The sequence below is a fragment of the Homo sapiens genome, chromosome 3 (assembly GCF_000001405.40).
Source record: "Homo sapiens chromosome 3, GRCh38.p14 Primary Assembly".
Classification (NCBI taxonomy): Eukaryota; Metazoa; Chordata; class Mammalia; order Primates; family Hominidae; genus Homo; species Homo sapiens.
In genome coordinates, this window is record NC_000003.12 from 58,935,487 (window position 1) to 58,957,354 (window position 21,868).

At 40.5% G+C, this 21,868-nt stretch overlaps 1 protein-coding gene and 1 long non-coding RNA gene across 29 annotated transcripts in view, besides 1 other annotated feature; one reads left to right on the forward strand and one right to left on the reverse strand.

Annotated features, from left to right (window-relative positions):
- The window catches only part of CFAP20DC (CFAP20 domain containing), a 333,853-nt gene that overhangs the window by 219,314 nt on the left and 92,671 nt on the right, over nucleotides 1-21,868 (reverse strand). For all 28 annotated transcript variants that reach the window (XR_001740051.3, XR_007095648.1, XR_001740054.3 and 25 more), the window contains one exon: nucleotides 2,162-2,276. Coding sequence is in view for 14 of the 28 variants with exons in the window: in XM_047447655.1 (XP_047303611.1) it covers nucleotides 2,162-2,276 (115 nt within the window). In the remaining 14 variants the exon portion in view is untranslated. The remainder of the gene's footprint in view (nucleotides 1-2,161; nucleotides 2,277-21,868) is intronic.
- Nucleotides 1-21,868, forward strand: part of CFAP20DC-AS1 (CFAP20DC antisense RNA 1) — a 194,623-nt gene that overhangs the window by 111,016 nt on the left and 61,739 nt on the right. The gene's annotated exons all lie outside the window — the stretch shown is intronic.
- Nucleotides 19,671-20,270: an enhancer, noted in NCBI's record as "NANOG-H3K27ac hESC enhancer chr3:58940883-58941482 (GRCh37/hg19 assembly coordinates)". NCBI's record gives its function as "activates a minimal SCP1, AML or CMV promoter by ChIP-STARR-seq in naive H9 embryonic stem cells {active_cell/tissue: H9 hESC(naive)}" and the evidence as "EXISTENCE:reporter gene assay evidence [ECO:0000049][PMID:30033119]".

Here is a 21,868-nt window from a genome sequence, read left to right on the forward strand (position 1 = left end):
CAAAGCTGGAGGTATCGCGCTACCTGACTTCAAACTATACTACAAGGCTACAGTAACCAAAACAGCATGGTACTGGTACCAAAACAGAGATATAGATCAATGGAATAGAACAGAGCCCTCAGAAATAACGCCGCATATCTACAACTATCTGATCTTTGACAAACCTGAGAAAAACAGCAATGGGGAAAGGATTCCCTATTTAATAAATGGTGCTGGGAAAACTGGCTAGCCATATGTAGAAAGCTGAAACTGGATCCCTTCCTTACATCTTATACAAAAATTAATTCAAGGTGGATTAAAGACTTAAACGTTAGATCTAAAACCATAAAAACCCTAGAAGAAAACCTAGGCATTACCATTCAGGACATAGGCATGGGCAAGGACTTCATGTCTGAAACACCAAAAGCAATGGCAACAAAAGCCAAAATTGACAAATTGGATCTAATTAAACTGAAGAGCTTCTGCACAGCAAAAGAAACTACCATCAGAGTGAACAGGCAACCTACAAAATGGGAGAAAATTTTCACAACCTACTTATCTGACAAAGGGCTAATATCCAGAATCTACAATGAACTCAAACAAATTTACAAGAAAAAAACAAACAACCCCATCAAAAAGTGGGCGAAGGACATGAACAGACACTTCTCAAAAGAAGACATTTATGCAGCCAAAACACACATGAAAAAATGCTCATCATCACTGGCCATCAGAGAAATGCAAATCAAAACCACAATGAGATACCATCTCACACCAGTTAGAATGGCAATCATTAAAAAGTCAGGAAACAACAGGTGCTGGAGAGGATGTGGAGAAATAGGAACAATTTTACACTGTTGCTGGGACTGTAAACTAGTTCAACCATTGTGGAAGTCAGTGTGGCGATTCCTCAGGGATCTAGAACTAGAAATACCATTTGACCCAGCCATCCCATTACTGGGTATATACCCAAAGGGTTAGAAATCATGCTGCTATAAAGACACATGCACACGTATGTTTATTGCGGCACTATTCACAATAGCAAAGACTTGGAACCAAGCCAAATGTCCAACAATGATAGACTGGATTAAAAAAATGTGGCACATATACACCATGGAATACTATGCAGCCATAAAAAATGAAGAGTTCATGTCGTTTGTAGGGACATGGATGAAGCTGGAAACCATCATTCTCAGTAAACTATCGCAAGGACGGAAAACCAAACACCGCATGTTCTCCCGCACAGGTGGGAATTGAACAATGAGAACACATGGACACAGGAAGGGGAACATCACACTCTGGGGACTGTTGTGGGGTTAGGGGACGGGGAGGGATAGCTTTAGGAGATATACCTAATGCTAAATGACGAGTTACTGGGTGCAGCACACCAGCATGGCACATGTATACATATGTAACTAACCTGCACATTGTGCACACGTACCCTAAAACTTAAAGTATAATAATAACAAAATTAAAAAAAAATAAATTTAAGCCAAAAAAAAAAAAGAGAGATAGTGTTGATTTAAAGGAAAGTATCAAGTGCATACCAGAATGGGTAGTACACAAACAGGGTACTGAGAGTAATATTGAAATGACTGAAGTTTGAGAACGACTTGTCAGAAAAATCAGGCCCTTCAGAAGTTATACAACGTACTTAAAATGTCTGAACCCATATCAGGCTCTTGTACTGTCAGACCAATGTTTCCTTAGGGCTCTTTTTCAATCTGGCAACAAGATTAATTGTTCACTGTTCTCCGGAGGTTACCTCTTTCCAGCGTCCACGCTTCTGTCCATGCTGTTGCTTTTGCTGGAATGCCTGGCTTCCTATCTCTCCCTGTTGAAATCTTAGAGTTCTCCCAAGTCCACTCTAAGTGCTATCTCCTTCAGAAAGCCTTCCCCCATCCCCAGTCAGATGGATTCCTTTCCCTTTCACATTACCAATAGCACTTTCTCTCTCCACTGTGCTTTGTAACACAGTTTTGGTGATTTTATAGATGTTCAAATAATTACGTTATTCCACTTAGATGTTAAGCTCTTTCAAGAGAGGGGAAGGAAGGCCATGAATTTTATTCATTTTTTATACCACCATCGTACTTAACAAAGTACCTCACATATGGAGTCAGCCCATAAGTAATATTTGTTGAATTGAATTTAATATTTTAGGCAACATTCATGTGATACTTACAATTTTACGTTTGATCATGAAGAGTGGAATTTTTGCATGAAGAGGGGTGGAGGATAGTTCCTTATGGACCGTTGATAAATATAATCTTCTTTTGATGTTCCCTAAATCAGTAATTCTGAAAACATGGAGGAGAGAAGACAGAAAGATTCCCATCAATTTAATAACCACTTCTTTGGATAATCATCAAAATGATATAATTTATCATACAGACCCTTTTCAACAGGAAGATCAAACACAGAATTTAAGAATTGCCTTTTTCTTTCAAGAAGTAATAAAATTTCTTTCTTAAATTCAAAGTGCTCAGAAGCCTGAATGTATAAATTCACTTAATATGCTAATTTATTTCAGTACTCTACACTAGATTTCCACAGTCCTCCAGCCTATGAAAGAATTCAATTTGGATGAACTGAGAAACTGTTAGCCTTTAATAACCATACTTGTTCCAGCCCCTTAAGCTTGTGTTATCTTGGGACATACTGTCACCTACTAAATAGGAAAACATTATGGGTTTCTTTCCCTAAAAATGCATCTGTCATTTTGTATAGGCTCTTAGTCTGCTTAGAGACAGACACAAAACCCTGGCTGTCGGTTTCACTTCCTAAGCACATATCTTCCAACCAGAATTATAATACACAACTTTATCGCTCACTATTCAGGTCAACCCACAGTGATACCAAGGACACTGAATCTGAACATCTTTAATAGATTTAGACCACAGCCATGATCACAAAGATTAGGTTTGCTTCAAATTGATAGAGGCTCATTTTTATGTTCTCCTTCCTTTAGGTCTCAGAGGTAACACAGCAGGCTTAAAATCTCCAAACCTGTCTCACACTGCTATATTATAGAATTGATGCTTCTTTAAAAACTTTTTATTTGAGAATGATTTTTCCCCGTTATTAGGGAAAAACTTTGTTTAGACACATTACACTGCTAATTTTCTATATTTAGTAATCCCCAAGAAGACAACATCTCATTCAAACGCATCATTGTCAATATTTATAGTGTAATTAACTGTTTTTAAAATTGGCATTGTCTTTTCTACAGCACTTCCGTTCCCCCTCCTTCCCACTTTTCTAATCTCGGTATTGCTCCTCTCTAAACTACTCTACATATCTTTCAGTGAAAAAAAACTATCATTAAACAATGTTAAGAATAAATACAGTAAAAATTAGGTAAGATGATTTCAGAGTATGCTCCAGACCTAAAAATTCCACCCTACTTGCACTAAATGATATCATAAATTCATTTAAAATACAACGTCTTTCAATCCATAGTCAGAGCTAAGGTTTAAAATGCAGAAGTATTAACACTATGGCAGTATTATACCCTGATGTATATACATATATGTAAACATAGTATCACATTTACCCTAAGGCAATGTCTTCAAAGTGGGATGAACACATGGGGAGGGGGAGTGATATGCAACAATCCACTGAAGTGCAGGAAGAAAACATTAGAACTTTCACCTCATCCCCTTAAAATGTTATTTTTGTGCATGTCTCATTATACAGTAGTATAGTAACATATTTATATATTTTCTAAATAAATGCCCCTATATGGCAGGTATGTACAAATATTTTACTAATGGGGTACAGGATCAAATATGTTTGGAAAATCATGTCATCAGAGACGCTATTAGGTCTCTTCTGTAAGTTCTCATTAGGAAATAAAAGGAAAGACTACTGGGATTCTAGAAAGGAAAAGGGAACAAAAAGAGGGACTGCATTAACCAAAAATTCATCTATCACAGTTTTATTAAAGGGCTACTGTGCTTTCATGAATAAAACTACATTTTTTAAAATTTTATTTTTATTTTTTATTTTTTTGAGACAGAGTCTAGCTCTGTCACCCAGGCTGGAGTGCAGTGGCGCAATCTCGGCTCACTGCAAGCTCCACCTCCCGGGTTCACGCCATTCTCCTGCCTCAGTCTCCCGAGTAGCTGGGACTACAGGCACCCGCCACCATGCCTGGCTAATTTTTCGTATTTTTAGTAGAGACAGGGTTTCATGATGTTAGTCAGGATGGTCTCAATCTCCTGACCTCGTGATCCGCCTGCCTCGCCCTCCCAAAGTGCTGGGATTACAGGTGTGAGTCACCGTGCCCGGCCCATTTTTTTTTTTTTTTTTTTTTTTTGAGATGGAGTCTCGCCCTTGTCGCCCAGGCTGGAGTGCAATGGTGCAATCGTGGCTTACTGTAACCTCCGCCTCCCAGGTTCAAGCGATTCTCCTGCCTGAGCCTCCTGAGTAGCTGGGATTACCAGCGCGTGACATTATGCCCAGCTAATTTTTGTATTTTTAGTAGAGACAGGGTTTCATCATGTTGGCCAAGCTGGTCTAGAACTACTGACCTCAGGTGATCGGCCCGCCTGGGCCTCCCAAAATGTTGGGATTACAGGCGTGAGCCACTGTGCCCAGCCAAACTACATATTTTTAATCTAAATAGTTAAGAGTCAAACTCCAAATGGAGGAATGATTGAGTATACTATCACTTCATATGGAACTACAAGAACATTCATTTGTTCATTCATACATTCAACAAAGACTGAGCCAGGAAAATTGCTGGGAGTACGTCAGGGAGACAGCGATGAAAAAGACAAGGTTCCTATCCTACTGGAGCCTCTATTCTTGTGCAAAAGGCAGGTGAATTTTCATGAAATATAGTTTACCATTATTTATGCTAGTGCTTTCTGTGTCCTGAAGAATCCCTGCCCAGGCTAAAGTTGCACAAATACTTTCTTATGTTTCCTTCTACATCTTTATAGTTTGTTTTTACATTTAGTTCGTCCCAAATTAGTTTCTGTGAGTTGTATGACATAGGGGTTGGAGTTCTTTTCTTTCTGTATGTTTATACAATTGTCCCAACACCATTTATTGAAGACTCTCCTTTTTTCACTGAAATGCCCTGGTACTTTGTTGAAAATCAGTTGACCATAAATATATGTGTGTGAGGTTGTATTTCTGGACTGTCTGTTGATTCATTTTTTTCATTGATCCATTTGTCTATTCTTATACCAATAATACACTATCTTGATTACTGTAGATTTAGAGTAAGTCTTGAAACCAGGTAAAGAAACTCTTCAACTTTAGTTTTGTTCAAGATTTGTTTGGGTTTTGCTTTTTCATATAGATTTTAGAATCCATTTATCATTTTCTATTAAAAAGAAGTGTTGAGAGTTTAACTTGGATTGTGTTGAATCTATAGACCAATTTCAGGAGAATGATACTGATCATGTCTACTCACATGATATGTATCTCCAATTATTTAGGCTTTGCTTAATTTCTTTTTTAATGTTTTATAGTTTTCATTTTAGAAGCCCTGCACATCTTTTGTTAAATTTATTCCTAAGTATTTTGTCTTCTGACACAATTGAAAATGAATTTCAAAATTTCATTTCCCAGGGCCAGGCGCAGTGGCTCATGCCTGAAATCCCAGCACTTTGGGAGGCTGAGGCGGGTGGATCACGAGGTCAAGAGATTTAGATGATCCTGGTCAACATGGTGAAACCTCGTCTCTACTAAAAATACAGAAATTAGCTGGGTGTAGTGGCACATGCCTATAATCCCAGCTACTCAGGAGGGTGAGGCAGGAGAATCGCTTGAACCCGGGAGGTGGAGGCTGCAGTGAGCTGAGATTGTGCCACTGCACTCCAGCCTGGCGACAGAGCGAGACTCCGTCTCAAAAAAAAAAAAAAAAAAAAAAAAAAAAAGAAAATTTCACTTCCCAGTCATTTGGTTCTAGTATATAGACATTCAATTGATTTCTCTATATGGTACTTGTTTCCTCTGACCTTTGCTTAATTCACTCTTGAGTTCCAGTAGTTGTTTTGTAGATTCCTGAGGATTTTATACATAAACAATCATGTCCCGGAGTGAATAAAGACTGTTTTACTTCTGCTTTTTCAACTTTATAACTTTCATTTCTTTTTCTTTTTTTTTTGAGATAGAATCTCGCTCTGTGGCCCAGGCTGGAGTGCAGTGGCATGATCTTGGCTCACTGCAAGCTCCGCCTCCTGGGTTCACGCCATTCTCCTGCCTCAGCCTCCCGAGTAGCTGGGACTACAGGCGCCCGCCACTGCCCTCGGCTAATTTTTTGTATTTTTAGTAGCGATGGGGTTTCACCGTGGTCTCGATCTCCTGACCTCGTGATCCGCCCGCCTCGGCCTCCCAAAGTGCTGGGATTACAGACGTGAGCCACTGTGCCCGGCCCTTTCATTTCTTTTTCTTGCATTACCGCAATGGCTAGGGCCTTCAGCACATCTTAAATAGAAATCATTACAATATATACCCTTGCTTTATTCCCAATCACAGGGAGAAAGTGTTCATTATGACCTTATTAAGTATGATGTTAGAGCGTAGTTTACTTTATCACACTGAGGATGTTGTTTTCCATTCTACTTTTTTAGACATTCTTTTTTCAATCATGAAAGGTTGCAGAATTTTGTTAAATGCCTTTTCTATACTGGTTGAAATTATCCTGTTGTTTTTCACCTTTATTCTGTCTATATATTTAATTATACTCATTGATCTTCAAATGTGAAATGAACTTTGTATTCTTGGAGGAAATTTCAATTGGGCTAGTATTTTGTTGAAGATTTTTATGCTGTAAAAGAAAAAATAAAATGATATGTGCCAGCAGATGGCTGAATAGGAACAGTTTCGGTCTGCAGTTCCCAGTGAGATAAATGCAGAAGGCAGGTGATTTCTGCATTTCCAACTGAGGTACCCGGCTCATTTCACTGGGACTGGTTAGACAGTGGTTGCAGTCCATGGAGGGCAAGCCAAAGCAGGGTGGGGCGTTGCCTCACCTGGGAAGTGCAAGGTGTCAGGGAACTCCCTCCCCTAGCCAAAGGAAGCCGTGAGGGACTGTGCCATGAGGAACGGTGCATTCTGGCCCAGATACTATGCTTTTCCCATGGTCTTTGCAACCCACAAACCAGGAAATTCCCTCAGGTGCCTACACCACCAGGGCCCTGGGTTTCAGGCAAAAAACAGGGCAGCTGTTTGGGCAGACATCGAGCTAGCTGCAGGAGTCTTTTTTCGTACCCTAGTGGCACCTGGAACACCAGTGAGACAGAACCCTTCACTCCCCTGGAAAGGGGGTTAAAGCCAGGGAACCAAGTGGTCTTGCTCAGTGGATCCCACCCCCATGGAGGCCAGCAAGCTAAGATCCACTGATTTGAAATTCTCACTGAGAACACAGCAGTCTAAAATCAACCCAGGGCACTAGAGTTTGGTGGGGGAAGCGGCGTCTGCCATTACTAAGGCTCAAGTAAGCAGTCTTCCCCTCACAGTGAAAACAAAGCCACCAGGAATTTCGAACTGGGCAGAGCTCAGTGCAGCTCTGCAAAGCCGCTGTAGCCAGACTGCTTCTCTAGATTCCTCCTCTCTGGGCAGGGCATCTCTGAAAGAAAGGCAGCAGCTCCAGTCAGGCACTTATAGATAAAATTCCCATCTCTTTGGGACAGAGCACCTGGGGAAAGTGGTGGCTGTGGGTGCAGCTTCAGCAGACTTAAATGTTCCTGCCTGCCGGCTCTGAAGAGAGCAGCAGATCTCTCAGCACAGTGCTCGAGCTCTGCTAAGGGACAGACGCCTCAAGTGGGTCCCTGACCCCTGTGCCTCCTGACTGGGAGACACCTCCCAGCAGGGGTCAATAGACACGTCATACAGGAGAGCTCTGCCTGGCGTCTGGCAGGTGCCCCTCTGGGATGAAGCTTCCAGAGGAAGGAACAGGCAGGAATCTTTGCCGTTCTGCAGCCTCTGCTGGTGATACCCAGGGAAAGAGGGTCTGGAGTGGACCTTCAGAAAACTTCAGCAGACCTACAGCAGAGAGGCCTGACTGTTAGCAAAAAACTAACAAACAGAAAGGAATAGAATCAACATGAATGAAAAGGATGTCCACACAAAAACCCCATCCAAAGGTCACTAACATCGAAGACCAAAGGTAGATAAATCCGCGAAGATGAGGAAAAACCAGCACAAAAAGGCTGAAAATTCCAAAAACCAGAACACTTCTTTTACTCCAAAGGATCACAACTCCTCGCCAGCAAGGAAACAAAACTGGACAGAGAATGAGTTTGAGGACTTGACAGAAGTACGCTTCAGAAGGTGGGTAATAATAAACTACTCTAAGCTAAAGGAGCATGTTTTAACCCAATGCAAGGTAGCTAAGAACCTTAAAAATAGTTAGAGGAATTGCTAACTAGAATAACGAGTTTAGAAAAGAATATAAATGACCTGATGGAGCTGAAAAACACAGCACAAGAATGTTGTGAAGCATACGCAAGTATCAATAGCCGAATCAATCAAGCGGAAGAAAGGATATCAGAAAATGAGGATCAACTTAATGAAATAAAGCGTGAAGACAAGATTAGAGAAAAAAGAATGAAAGAGAATGAACAAAGCCTCCAAGAAAGATGGAACTATGTAAAATGACCAAACCTACATTTGATTGGTATACCTGAAAGTGACGGGGAGAATGGAACCAAGTAGGAAAACACTCTTCAGGATATTATCTAGGAGAACTTACCCAACCTAGCCAAGACAGGCCAACTTTCAAATTCAGGAAATACAGAGACCACCACAAAGATACTCCTCGAGAAGAGCAACCTGAAGACACATAATCCTCAGATTCTCCAAGGTTGAAATGAAGGAAAAAATGTTAAGGGCAGCCAGAGAGAAGTAACTATTCTTAAATAGTTGTTTTTAACACTTTTATTCATTTTCTATTTTACAGATGAGAAAATAAGACTCCAGAAATTACCAGCCCATGGATATACAGTTAGTAAGTAGCAGAGACAAGTGTTACCATTCTGTCTTTGAACTTAAAATCCACTGCCATTTCTGTCATGCAACACTATGCCGACTACTATTCCAGGCTGAAGCAGTTTCATTTGTTCACTGTTTACCAAGAGACTAGTATAGACATCGTGCTAAGTGCTCCGAATACAGCAGTACCAAGGATTCCCTGGTTTCTGTCCTTATAGAGTTTACAGTATGGTGAGAACCACAGAACCATATTATATTCTTAAGATAATACTTGTTTCTCTGCTGAAAACCACTCCCCTTTCACTTCTCCCTCTCTCTCACTGCTTTAGAACCTCTTCCTGCTTCATTCTGGATCCAGTTTTCCAATAGGTTACAAATTTGTGCCTCCATCCATGATCCTGTGTAAGGCCTTCCAGAAGGATGATCTCCAAGCTAGCAAGACTGGAGTGTAAACTACTGAAATGTGTTAATTCGTGTAAAGAAAAAAAATCTATCAAGTATCAGAAGGATTTGTTGACTTAGCATATAATCCAAATGACTGACTTAGACTTCAGTGTAAGATGCATACATTTTCCAAAAATATCATTATTAAATATCAATTATTGAACATTCTCTATATGCCAACAATGTATTAAGCACTCTATATACTTTATCTAATTTAATCCTCCCATAAACCCTACAAGATATCTACTATTATTATTATCATCTATTTTACAGATGAGGAATCTAAAGCTTAGTTAGTAAGGCTAGGTATCTCTCCCCAAACCACACATTCAGCAGAGTGCAGATTTAAACTCAGATCTAATTAATCCCAGTATCCACCTTCTGAAGTACATGCTTGCTTTCTTTTTGGGGCAGGTGATCCCTATAAACACATGCATAGTAGAATGACCTTTCCTCCTGGGAACAAGATATTTAATATCTAATGGCTAAGATGCCTACCCTACACTGTGTTTGAATGGACACAGTTCATGTTTACCTTTTGTGTGTATGTGTGTATGAGATTATCTTCTTTCCATCCACAAATCCTTCCTTTTGATAGGTAAAAAAAAGCTCTGATCCAATGATTATTATCTTACAACTAAAATTTTGGAGGCTAATCTTATTTTCCTCATTCCCAGGCTCCTGGGGGTAACCTCATACCTCACAATAGGCCTCACATACTTACTTCAAATCCTCTCAGTTATTAGCGAGGACTCCTGAGAATCACTGATTGCTGGTCATCATGAGCATCTGAACTTCACCAATCCAATTAGCTGCCACATGCTGTCAAAGTCACTTTCTTTTTTTTTTTTTTTTCTGAGACGGAGTCTCGTTCTGTCACTGGGCTGGAGTCCAGTGGCGCGATGTCGGCTCACTGCAACCTCCGCCTCCCTGGTTCAAGCGATTCTCCTGCCTCAGCCTCCCCAGTAACTAGGACTACAGGCGCACACCACCATACCCAGCTAATTTTTGTATTTTTAGTACAGATGAGGTTTCACCACGTTGGCCAGGATGGTCTCAATCTCCTGACCTCGTGATCGGCCCACCTCGACCTCCCAAAGTGCTGGGATTACAGGCATAAGCCACCACGACCAGCCCAAAGTCACTTTCTTAGTGGTTTCATATCTATTTTTTTCCTTTGGTTTCTTACAGTTACAAAGTTCAGGTCATTTGTTGCTTGAAATGGCCTCTTTTACTGGTTTCTCAACTGCCCCAATTTTTTTTTTTTTTTTTTTTTGAGATGGAGTCTCACTTTGTCACCCAGGCTGGAGTGCAGTGACGTGATCTCGGCTCACTGCAACCTCTGCCTCCCAGGTTCAAGCGATTCTCGTGTCTCAGTCTCCTAAGTAGCTGGGACTACAGGCATGTGCCACCATGCCCGGCTAATTTTTTGTATTTTTAGTAGAGACAGGTTTCACTATGTTGGCCAGGCTGGTCTCGAACTCCTGACCTCAGGTGATCCGCCCACCTTGGCCTCCCAAAGTGCTGGGATTACAGCGTGGGCCACCCAACCCAGCCCCCAGTGTTTTATCTCTCAGTCCATTCTTCATGTGGACCAGCCATGGAGACTGAATGTCACCCCTAAGTTCCAATTTCTTTTTTGGCATCTTATAGTCTATGGAATAAAGTCCAAGTTTCTTGTCTTGTTTGTTATTCAGGGACCTCCAAATTCTGACCCTTATCCACTACCCCAGTATCGCCTGTCACCACATTCCTGTATGCTACCCTCTGCTCCTGTCAAACCCCATGAAGAAAAATGTGCAGGACAGAAACCAGGGGGTTAGCACCCGAGACTCCAGGAGAGAACATCCGAATTGGTACAAGAGGAAGAGAGGAAACGCAGAAGAAAGCCAAGATTGGTTGCTGGGAGTTTTAATATGAGACATCAAGAAGACCTCAGCAGGGGAGAAATCAAGGATATAATTATAAATAGTTAGAAGAGGATGGGACATGGAAGAGCAACATCTAAATCCCTACCATGTGCCAGAACCTGCATACCATTTTACCTGTGTTATCTCATTTATTCCTCCCAACAACTCTTTGAAATAGGAATGAATATTTACATTTTACCAATGTAGTGAGAGGCTCAGAGACATTAAGCAACTTGTTCAAGGTCTCATAGATAGTACGTAGCAGAGCCAGGAGACCTACTAAAGCCTAAAATGATGAGGCAAGAGCAATAATGGTAAATTATTTACAAGTCTATCTGACAACTCCAAGGTTAGTAGTTACCTGGCTCAGTGTTTTTAAAAGGTTGCATGCTTCCTCTGGGAAGGAAAGAGAGCAGCAGGCCTGCAACCATTTACTTTACTTTACTAAAGGGCATTCCAGAAAAAAAAGATATAAGACCAGCCAAAACTCCCTGTAAACATGAGCGAACTTCCCTGGCAAATGCACCAGTGGTATTAGGGGAAAAGTTATTAATGGAAAGCCTTTTGCAGGATATACCTGATACGTCTAGGACTGCTTGTAGTCAACAAACCTGGAATCCATGGGCTTATGGGGGCATCGCTCCCCGAAAAATGCCACATAAGCTACAAATATATGAAGTAGCCAAAATAAGCTCTCTTTGGGCTGGTAGCTCTCCCTCAGGTATTGCTCGGAGAACTTACCCATTAAATCTGGGCCATGTGCATTTAGAAAGGACTGGATCTCCTTCTGCTTCATGTGTACTTCATGACTTATATCCTTGAGAATATTTATAAAATTCAATACTGAGTAAGGTCTCCAATTCTTGTGAGTTTTTTGGCCAATGCAATCCTTAGAGATATCTCATATACTTGGCTGTGTTGTGCAGCGTCTTTAGGAAGCACATCTCCAAAAGTAGAATTTAAAATACGGTGCAAGTAGTCTATTTCAGAGGTAATCTCATGAAGCAGGAGTGAGGGAGCAGGGAGAATAGGACAACAAAGGAGGAAAAGGCAATATAAGAATGTACTATCAGTGACAGCACTACAAGTCACAGGGGCTCCATTCCACTGGGACTTCTGAAGACATGTACAGAACAGCCTACAGAATGGACCACCTGAAGGGTGGGAGATGGGAGCACATAATCACTGACTCCCAATCCCCAAGGGTTACGGGCTGCCTTTAGGGGCCTTAACTCCCCAGTATTTCCAAGTTGTATATTGGAACTTGGGTCCATGGGTGAAGTGGGCCTCCACAGCATCAAAGGAGGCTCTAGGGTGCACTTGCACTAACTTGCACCAAACTGTCAAGTGCAGCTGATAGCAGAGGTGGGTCCAGAGGACATGACATGGGACACTGGAGTGGACTGCCACAATGACAATACCAGTATGCTTCCTGCTACTTAAATGTATGACATTCTTTTCTATTTTCATGCCTTTGCTTATGCACTTCCCTTGGAAAGCCCCTTCTCTCTTTATTATGCCAACTGAAATTATATTCATCTATCACAGTTTGAGTTGAAATGCCAGCTCCTCCCTGAAAACTTCTTCGATCTCCAGATTTTAATCACATTTTTTATTGACTTGCTACAGCATGTTTTTTAACTTCTATTACTGAATTTTTTCATTCCCCTTTGTGGTTTTGGTCCATGACTATAGTCCACTTTATGAGCCATGAACTGATGCAAATATGCACATCTTTTCCTTTGTTTTCACAGTTAAATAACATGTAGTCCCATATATTCCAGTTTTGTCACTTGGTAGTAATGTTCTAATTGAGTTTAAAAGGGTTACTAGCGTTTGTTGAACCAGCCTTGCATCCCAGGGATGAAGCCCACTTGATCATGGTGGATAAGCTTTTTGATGTGCTGCTGGATTCGGTTTGCCCGTATTTTATTGAGGATTTTTGCATCGATGTTCATCAGGGATATTGGTCTAAAATTCTCTTTTTTTGTTGTGTCTCTGCCCAGCTTTGGTATCAGGATGATGCTGGCCTCTTAAAATGAGTTAGGGAGGATTCCCTCTTTTTCTATTGATTGGAATAGTTTCAGAAGGAATGGTACCAGCTCCTCTTTGTACCTCTGGTAGAATTCGGCTGTGAATCCTTCTGGTCCTGGACTTTTTTTGGTTGGTAAGCTATTAATTATTGCCTCAATTTCAGAACCTGTTATTGGTCTATTCAGAGATTCAACTTCTTCCTGGTTTAGTCTTGGGAGGGTGTATGTGTCGAGGAATTTATCCATTTCTTCTAGATTTTCTAGTTTATTTGCGTAGAGGTGTTTATAGTATTCTCTGATGGTAGTTTGTATTTCTGTGGGATTGGTGGTGATATCCCCTTTATCATTTTTTATTGTGTCTATTTGATTCTTCTCTCTTCTTTATTAGTCTTGCTAGAGGTCTATCAATTTTGTTGATCTTTTCAAAAAACCAGCTCCTGGATTCATCGATTTTTTGAAGGTTTTTTTTGTCTCTATTTCCTTCAGTTCTGCTCTGATCTTAGTTATTTCTTGCCTTCTGCTGGCTTTTGAATGTGTTTGCTCTTGCTTCTCTAGTTCTTTTAATTGTGATGTTACGGTGTCAATTTTAGATCTTTCCTGCTTTCACTTGTGGGCATTTAGAGCTATAAATTTCCCTCTACACACTGCTTTGAATGCGTCCCAGAGATTCTGGTATGTTGTGTCTTTGTTCTCGTTGGTTTCAAAGAACATCTTTATTTCTGCCTTCATTTCGTTATGTATCCAGTAGTCATTCAGGAGCAGGTTGTTCAGTTTCCATGTAGTTGAGGTTTTGAGTGAGTTTCTTAATCCTGAGTTATAGTTTGATTGCACAATCCAGCATATAAACAGAACCAATGACAAAAACCATATGATTATCTCAATAGATGCAGAAAAGGCCTTTGACAAAATTCAAAAACCCTTCATGCTAAAAACTCTCAATAAAAAATTAGGTTTTGATGGGATGTATCTCAAAATAATAAGAGCTATCTATGACAAACCCACAGCCAGTATCATACTGAATGGGCAAAAACTGGAAGCATTCCCTTTGAAAACTCGCACAAGACAGGGATGCCCTCTCTCACCACTCCTATTCAACATAGTGTTGGAAGTTCTGGCCAGGGCAATTAGGCAGGAGAAGGAAATAAAGGGCATTCAATTAGGAAAAGAGGGAGTCCAGTTGTCCCTGTTTGCAGATGACATGATTGTATATCTAGAAAACCCCATCGTCTCAGCCCAAAATCTCCTTAAGCTGATAGGCAACTTCAGCAAAGTCTCAGGATACAAAATCAATGTGCAAAAATCACAAGCATTCTTATACACCAATAACAGACAAACGGAGAGCCAAATCATGAGTGAACTCCCATTCACAATTGCTTCAAAGAGAAGAAAATACCTAGGATCCAACTTACAAGGACCTCTTCAAGGAGAACTACAAACCACTGCTCAACAAAATAAAAGAGGATACAAACAAATGGAAGAACATTCCATGCTCATGGGTAGGAAGAATCAATATTGTGAAAATGGCCATACTGCCCAAGGTAATTTATATATTCAATGCCAACCCCATCAAGCTACCAATGACTTTCTTCACAGAATTGGAAAAAACTACTTTAAAGTTCATATGGAACCAAAAAAGAGCCTGCATTGCCAAGTCAATCCTAAGCCAAAAGAACAAAGCTGGAGGCATCATGCTACCTGACTTCAAACTACACTACAAGGCTACAGTAACCAAAACAGCATGGTACTGGTATCAAAACAGAGATATAGACCAATGGAACAGAACAGAACTCTCAGAAATAACACCGCATATCTACAACCATCTGATCTTTGACAAACCTGAGAAAAACAAGAAATAGGGAAACGATTCCCTATTTAACAAATGGTGCTGGGAAAACTGGCTAGCCATATGTAGAAAGCTGAAGCTGGATCTCTTCCTTACAGCTCATACAAAAATTAATTCAAGATGGATTAAGGACTTAAATGTTAGACCTAAAACCATAAAAACCCTAGAAGAAAACCTAGGCATTACCATTCAGGACATAGGCATGGGCAAGGACTTCATGTCTAAAACACCAAAAGCAATGGCAACAAAAGCCAAAATTGACAAATGGGATCTAATTAAACTAAAAGCTTCTGCACAGCAAAAGAAACTACCATCAGAGTGAACAGGCAACCTACAAAATGGGAGAAAATTTTTGCAATCTACTCATCTGACAAAGGGCTAATATCCAGAATCTACAATGAACTCAAACAAATTTACAAGAAAAAAACAACCCCATCAACAAGTGGGTGAAGGATATGAACAGACACTTCTCAAAAGAAGACATTTATGCAGCCAAAAGACACATGAAAAAATGCTCATCATCACTGGCCATCAGAGAAATGCAAATCAAAACCACAATGAGATACCATCTCACACCAGTTAGAATGGTGATCATTAAAAAGTTAGAAAACAACAGGTGCTGGAGAGGATGTGGAGAAATAGGAACACTTTTACACTGTTGGTGGGACTGTAAACTAGTTCAACCATTGTGGAAGTCAGTATGGCGATTCCTCAGGGATCTAGGACTAGAAATACCATTTGACCCAGCCATCCCATTACTGGGTATATACCCAAAGGATTAGAAATCATGCTGCTATAAAGACACATGCACACGTATGTTTATTGCAGCACTATTCACAATAGCAAAGACTTGGAGCCAAGCCAAATGTCCAACAATGATAGACTGGATTAAGAAAATGTGGCACATATACACCATGGAATACTATGCAGCCATAAAAAATGAAGAGTTCATGTCATTTGTAGGGACATGGATGAAGCTGGAAACCATCATTCTCAGCAAACTATTGCAGGGACAAAAAACCAAACACCTCATGTTCTCACTCATAGGTGGGAATTGAACAATGAGATCACATGGACACAGGAAGGGGAACATCACACACCGGGGCCTGTTGTGGGGTGGGGGGAGAGGGGAGGGATAACATTAGGAGATACACCTAATGTTAAATGACGAGTTACTGGGTGCAGCACACCAACATGGCACATGTATACATATGTAACAAACCTGCACGTTGTGCACATGTACCCTAAAACTTAAAGTATAATAATAAAAAAAAGGGTTACTAGAATTTGGTGTTCCAAAGCTCACTTTAGAGTTTAGATAAGTTCCTCATGTTAACTTCCACAAAAACGTCTGAGTGCCCCGAAAGGCTGGGCAATTTGCAAAGTTCCTAGTGGACACATATAAAACATGATGGTTAGGGGGTAGGGTAGGGATGGAATTTCTGGAAATTTGGGAGGAAAACCATTTATTACAAATTCATCATCAGCGTTGAGTTCATTGTAGTTTTCAAGTAGTGCTATTCTTAGTTTTCAGTGATACGTTATTACAGTAGTCCCCCTCATCTGTGGTTTCATGTTCCAGTGGTTTCAGTTACTCAGGATCCAAAAATATTAAGTGGAAAATACCAGAAATAAATAATTCATAAGTTTTAAATTGCATGCTGCTCTGAGTAGTGTGATAAAATTTCTCATCATCCTACTCCATCCCACCCTGGATGTGAATTCTCCCTTTTTCCAGTCTCCACACTGTAGATGCCACCCACCTGTTAGTCATTTAGCAGCTGTCTTGGGTGATCAGATTGACTGTCACCGTATTGCAGTGCTTGTATTCAAGTAACCATCATCAACTTGGGTGGCTGTGGATTGTTCATTGAACCCTGTGGAATTCTGGCCTTTAATTTTCTATTAACTAAAACATAAGTGGCTCATAGATGCCTATGTAATCCTCTCTCTATCAATGTCCCAACCTCCTTACTGGAAAGTGGGAATGGGTGGGGTTGCAGGCTATGACATCTTTTATTCTGCTCCAGTGAGTCTTGATTTAAAAAAAAAAGTGTGGGCGTCAGGCTGTTATATATAAACTCTTCTACTAGCCTGTAAGCACCCCAGGGAACTGAGATCACATCCTGCTTATCACAGTACTCTCACAGAGCTAGGTTCAGGGGTTTATAATTAATTAGGAAATATTTGCTAAGTGGCCTTTTTTGAAGCCCTACCAGAGTTACATATTGGCTCATCTTCTTATTGAGCACCTACTTGCTCTCAAGTCTGGACGTAGATACTGGGGATTTCACAGTGAAAAAAACAAGGTCTCCAGCTTGTTCTAATGGAGAAGATAGTAATAAATAAACTAGTCCACATATAGTATGTCAATTCCCAATAAGGACTATGGAATAAAAATAAAGGATGAAAAAGTGATACAGACTGATAGGGGTGGGAAGTATTATTTTAGAAAGGGTAGTTAGGGAAGGCCTCTCACATAAGGCAACGTTTAAGCTGAGTTGAGCGAAGTAGAGGTAGGAACCATGCACACATCTAGGGGAAAAGCATGCAAGACAGAAGACTGTGTGAAAAGCCAAAAGAAAGATTCACTCCTCTGCTATAGTGTATCTTTCAACGTAATCCAACACATTTATTAAGAGGTGGGTCCTCTAGACTGCAAAACTCAATAGGAATCAAATGCTAGGCTCACAGCATGAGGTTTATCTTCACAGAACTCAGATTTTGGTTTGCACAAAATAGTTCTCAGTTAAGTCTAATCATTATGGCTCCGATGTCTGGAAGAATTTCTAAATGATCATGTGCCCAGCTTAAGACAGAGATATTAGGACTAAGCCATCCATATGGTGATGAGGGCTTATGCTACTGTCTTTGCAAAAATAAATATGCAAACCTTCCCCTATCTCATAATCAAGAATAGTTGGCTTTGGGGGGAAAACAAAATCATGTGCAAAGCTTAAATGGTTCTAAAAGCAAGCTGAATTGCTACTTTAAAAAAATTAAAATTAGTCATTCATGAGAGAGAGAATATAAATGCATATGTGTGACTACTTAAAAGCTTCATTACACTTATGTGCTTTTTTGGGGGCAATTTAGTTGCTGCAAGGAGGCTGCTTGTAAAACAGCTCTTCACTTGTAATACAGGCTTGATTTTCACCATCAAAAACCTCCTGTAACCTAACAAAGAAGAAAGAGACAAGTAACACTAGCATTACTCCTCTTGTACTTAAGGATTCATTTTTAAAAAACACCATATATGAGTTAATACATTGTTACATACGTAAGTGAGCATTCACAGCTAAGGGTCAGCAATGTGATAGAAAAAGTAATGAGACTATGTTGAGAGAAAATGGGGTAGTTGACGGGAAAATCAACCTCATTTATAATAATATTCTAGTGATCAGCAGGTTTATAACTCAGCTATGGTCATTAACAGCATTCATTTCAAACTTAACATCTACATTTGCAAACCACTTGAAAGTAAAATTACTTTTCAATTCAATTTTCAATTTGCTTTTAGAGCTTCATCTTTGATTGACAGTTTTTTTCCACAATGGCAGCTCCATGAGAATTTGAGTAAATGGTAGCACCCATCCAAGAGTGTAGATAAACTCATTTATTCAGATTACCTATTCACCTTTCTTCTGTATGTACAATCATTTACAATCATTTGCAAATGCTCACTTCAGGTTAGAGTGAACTTGTAAAACTGATCTCAGACTTCTGATGATTTGATTCATTTATAGAATCATCTGTTCTTTAAGCCAAAATGGTTTTTATTTTTCCTCATCATGACCTAAAAATTACAAAATTAGGATGCACATTTTCAGTGATGGTATCAAATAGCTCTAGGTACAGTTACAAGGAAATAGTGAGATTGCAAAATAGCCTGTTTAAATATGTAAAACGTTTCGATATATATTATATGGCTGTGTACTGAGTTTAACGGCCAATAGAAGATGGTTCTGTGGCCTCCCTTACACATTCATTCTAATGTTGCATGATTAGTATAGGGAATTTCATTCCATTAGTTTTCCCTTCTGCTGAAGTTTAAATTCACTGAAGATTCTTCTGTCTTTAAAAGAGAAGAGAAGCAATTCTGAACCCAAGACACTTTAGTGTGCTTATTAAAATACACTGTAGCTCATTTCTTTTTTTAATGGTTAACATTCTTTACAATGCATATTTTACACCTATGATTTTAAATTAATAACTGGCACTCTTGGAACCTTTCTTTGAATACCATTTGATTCCCTTTTTAAAAACAGCTTTATTTCAGAATTCACCACTATATAATTCATTAAGGTAGCAAAAAACCACTTGTACCCAAAAAACTATTGAAATAAAAACTAAAAAAAAAAAACTTTACTGAGGTATAATTTACATGCCACAAAATTTACCATATTTTGTGTAAAATTCAATGATTTTTAGTATATTTAAGGACTTATGCAACCATCACCAGAGTCCAACTGTAGAACAATCCCATCATCTCAAAAAGATCCCTTAGACCAAGAAGGGCAGAACAAAAGGCTCCACTGATCATCCCCTCTGCAAGTACACCAATTTAACAACTATACACAGAAAAAAACACCTTCATAAGAACCAAAAAATTAGGTGAGCACTCACAGTACCTGGTTTTAACTTCATATTGCTGAAAAAAGCACTAAAGAGGTAGGAAAAACATCTTAAATCACTGATGCCACCCCTCCCCCATGTTCGGTTGTGGCAGCACGGTGCAGACAGTATTTCTGTGTGTCAGGTAGAGGAACAGCCAGCAATTGTGAGGCATTTAACTCAGTGTTGCCTTTGTTATAGAAGAAAGCAAAACCAGACCAAACTCAGCTGATGCCCACCCACAGAGGGAGCATTTAAACCAGCCCTAGCCAGAGGCAAATCACTGATCCCAGCAATTAAAACTTAAGTTCCTGCAAGCCTAGCCACCATGGACTAAAGTGCTCTGGGGCCCCAAATAAACTTCAACAGCAGTCTAGGCCACAAAGTCTGCAACTCCTAGGCAAGTCCTAGTGCTGAACTGGTCTCAGAGGCAGTGAACTGGGGGGGCATGTGACCTCTTGAGACACCAGCTGGAATAGCTAAGGGCATGCTGGTATCACTCCTCTGACCCCAGGCTGCACAGTTTGTAGCTCCTTTTCTTCTGCTTGAGGAAGACTGGGGAGGATTCTGTCTTGCACCTTGGATACCAGCTCAGCAGCAGTAGGATAGGGCAACAGTCAGAGGCATGAGGCCCCCTTTCCAGGCCCTGGCTCCTGGATGACCTTTCTAGACACACTCTGGGCCAGAAGGGAACCCACTGCCTTGGAGGAAAGATTCAGTATGGGCAGGATTCTTCACCAGCTAACTGAAGAGTCCTTTGGCACTGAATAACCAGCAGTGATACCAACATACTACACTGAGGGCCTAAGACTTGCTGACTTCACATGAGAGTCAGTATATTCCCAGTTGTAGTGGCTATGGGGTGAGACTTCTTCTGCTTGAGAAAAATGAAAGGAAAAGTAATGGGATTTCGTCTTGTATCTTAGGTACCAGGTTGGCTACAAGGGGGAAGAGCACCAAGCATGTTCTTGGGGCCCACAATTCCAGGACTTGGCTCTTGGAAGGCATTTCTGAATCTTCCCTAGGCCAGAGGGGAGCCCATTTTCCTGGAGGGTGAGTCCCAGACCAGGCAGCACTCACCACAAGCTGAATAAAGAGCACCTGGGCCTTAAGGGAACATCAGCAGCAGTCTAGCAGTACTCCCAGTGGGCATGAGGTGGCTGTAGCCACAGGGCAAGACACCTCTGCCTTTGGAAAGGGGAGAGAAGAGTGGGAAAGACTACATCTTGTGGTTTGAGTGCCTTCTCAGCTGCAATACAATAGAACACCAGGTAGACAGCTAAGGTTTTTGACTTTAGTCCCTGGCTCCCGGATGGCACCTCTGGACTGGCACAGAACATGGAAGAACTTGCCACCCTGAAGGGAAGGCAATTCACTGGTGCACAAGCTTCTGCACAGCAAAGGAAATATATTAGTCCATTCTCACACTGCTAATAAAGACATACCCAAGACTGGGTAATTTATACAGGAAAGAGGTTTAATTGACTCACAGTTCAGCTTGGGTTGGGAGGCCTCAAGAAACTTACCATCATGGCAGAAGGGGAAGCAGACACATTCTTCTTCACATGGTAGGAGCAAGGGGAACAATGACTGCCCAGCAAAGGGGGAAGCCCCTTATAAAACCATCATATCTCGTGAGAACTCACTATCACGAGAATATGATGGGGGAAACCACACCCATGATCCAACTGTCTCCACCTGGTCCCTCCCACAACACAAGGGGATTATGGGAACTACAATTCAAGAAGAGATTTGGGTGGGGACACAGCCAAACCATATCAGGAAACAATCAACAAACTGAAGGGATAGTCCACAGAACAGGAGAAAATACTTGCAAACTACCCATGTGACAAGGGACTAATAATTAGAATATATAAGGAGCTCAAACAACTCTATAGGAAAACATCTAATTATCTGATTTAAAAATGGGTAAAAGATTTGAACAAACATTTCTCAAAAGAAGATCTACAAATAGCAAACACACATATAAAAATGTGCTCAATATCACTGATCATCAGAGAAACGCAAATCAAAACTATAGTGAGATACCTTCCCCCAGTTCAAATAATTTATATCCAAAAGATAGGCAATAACAA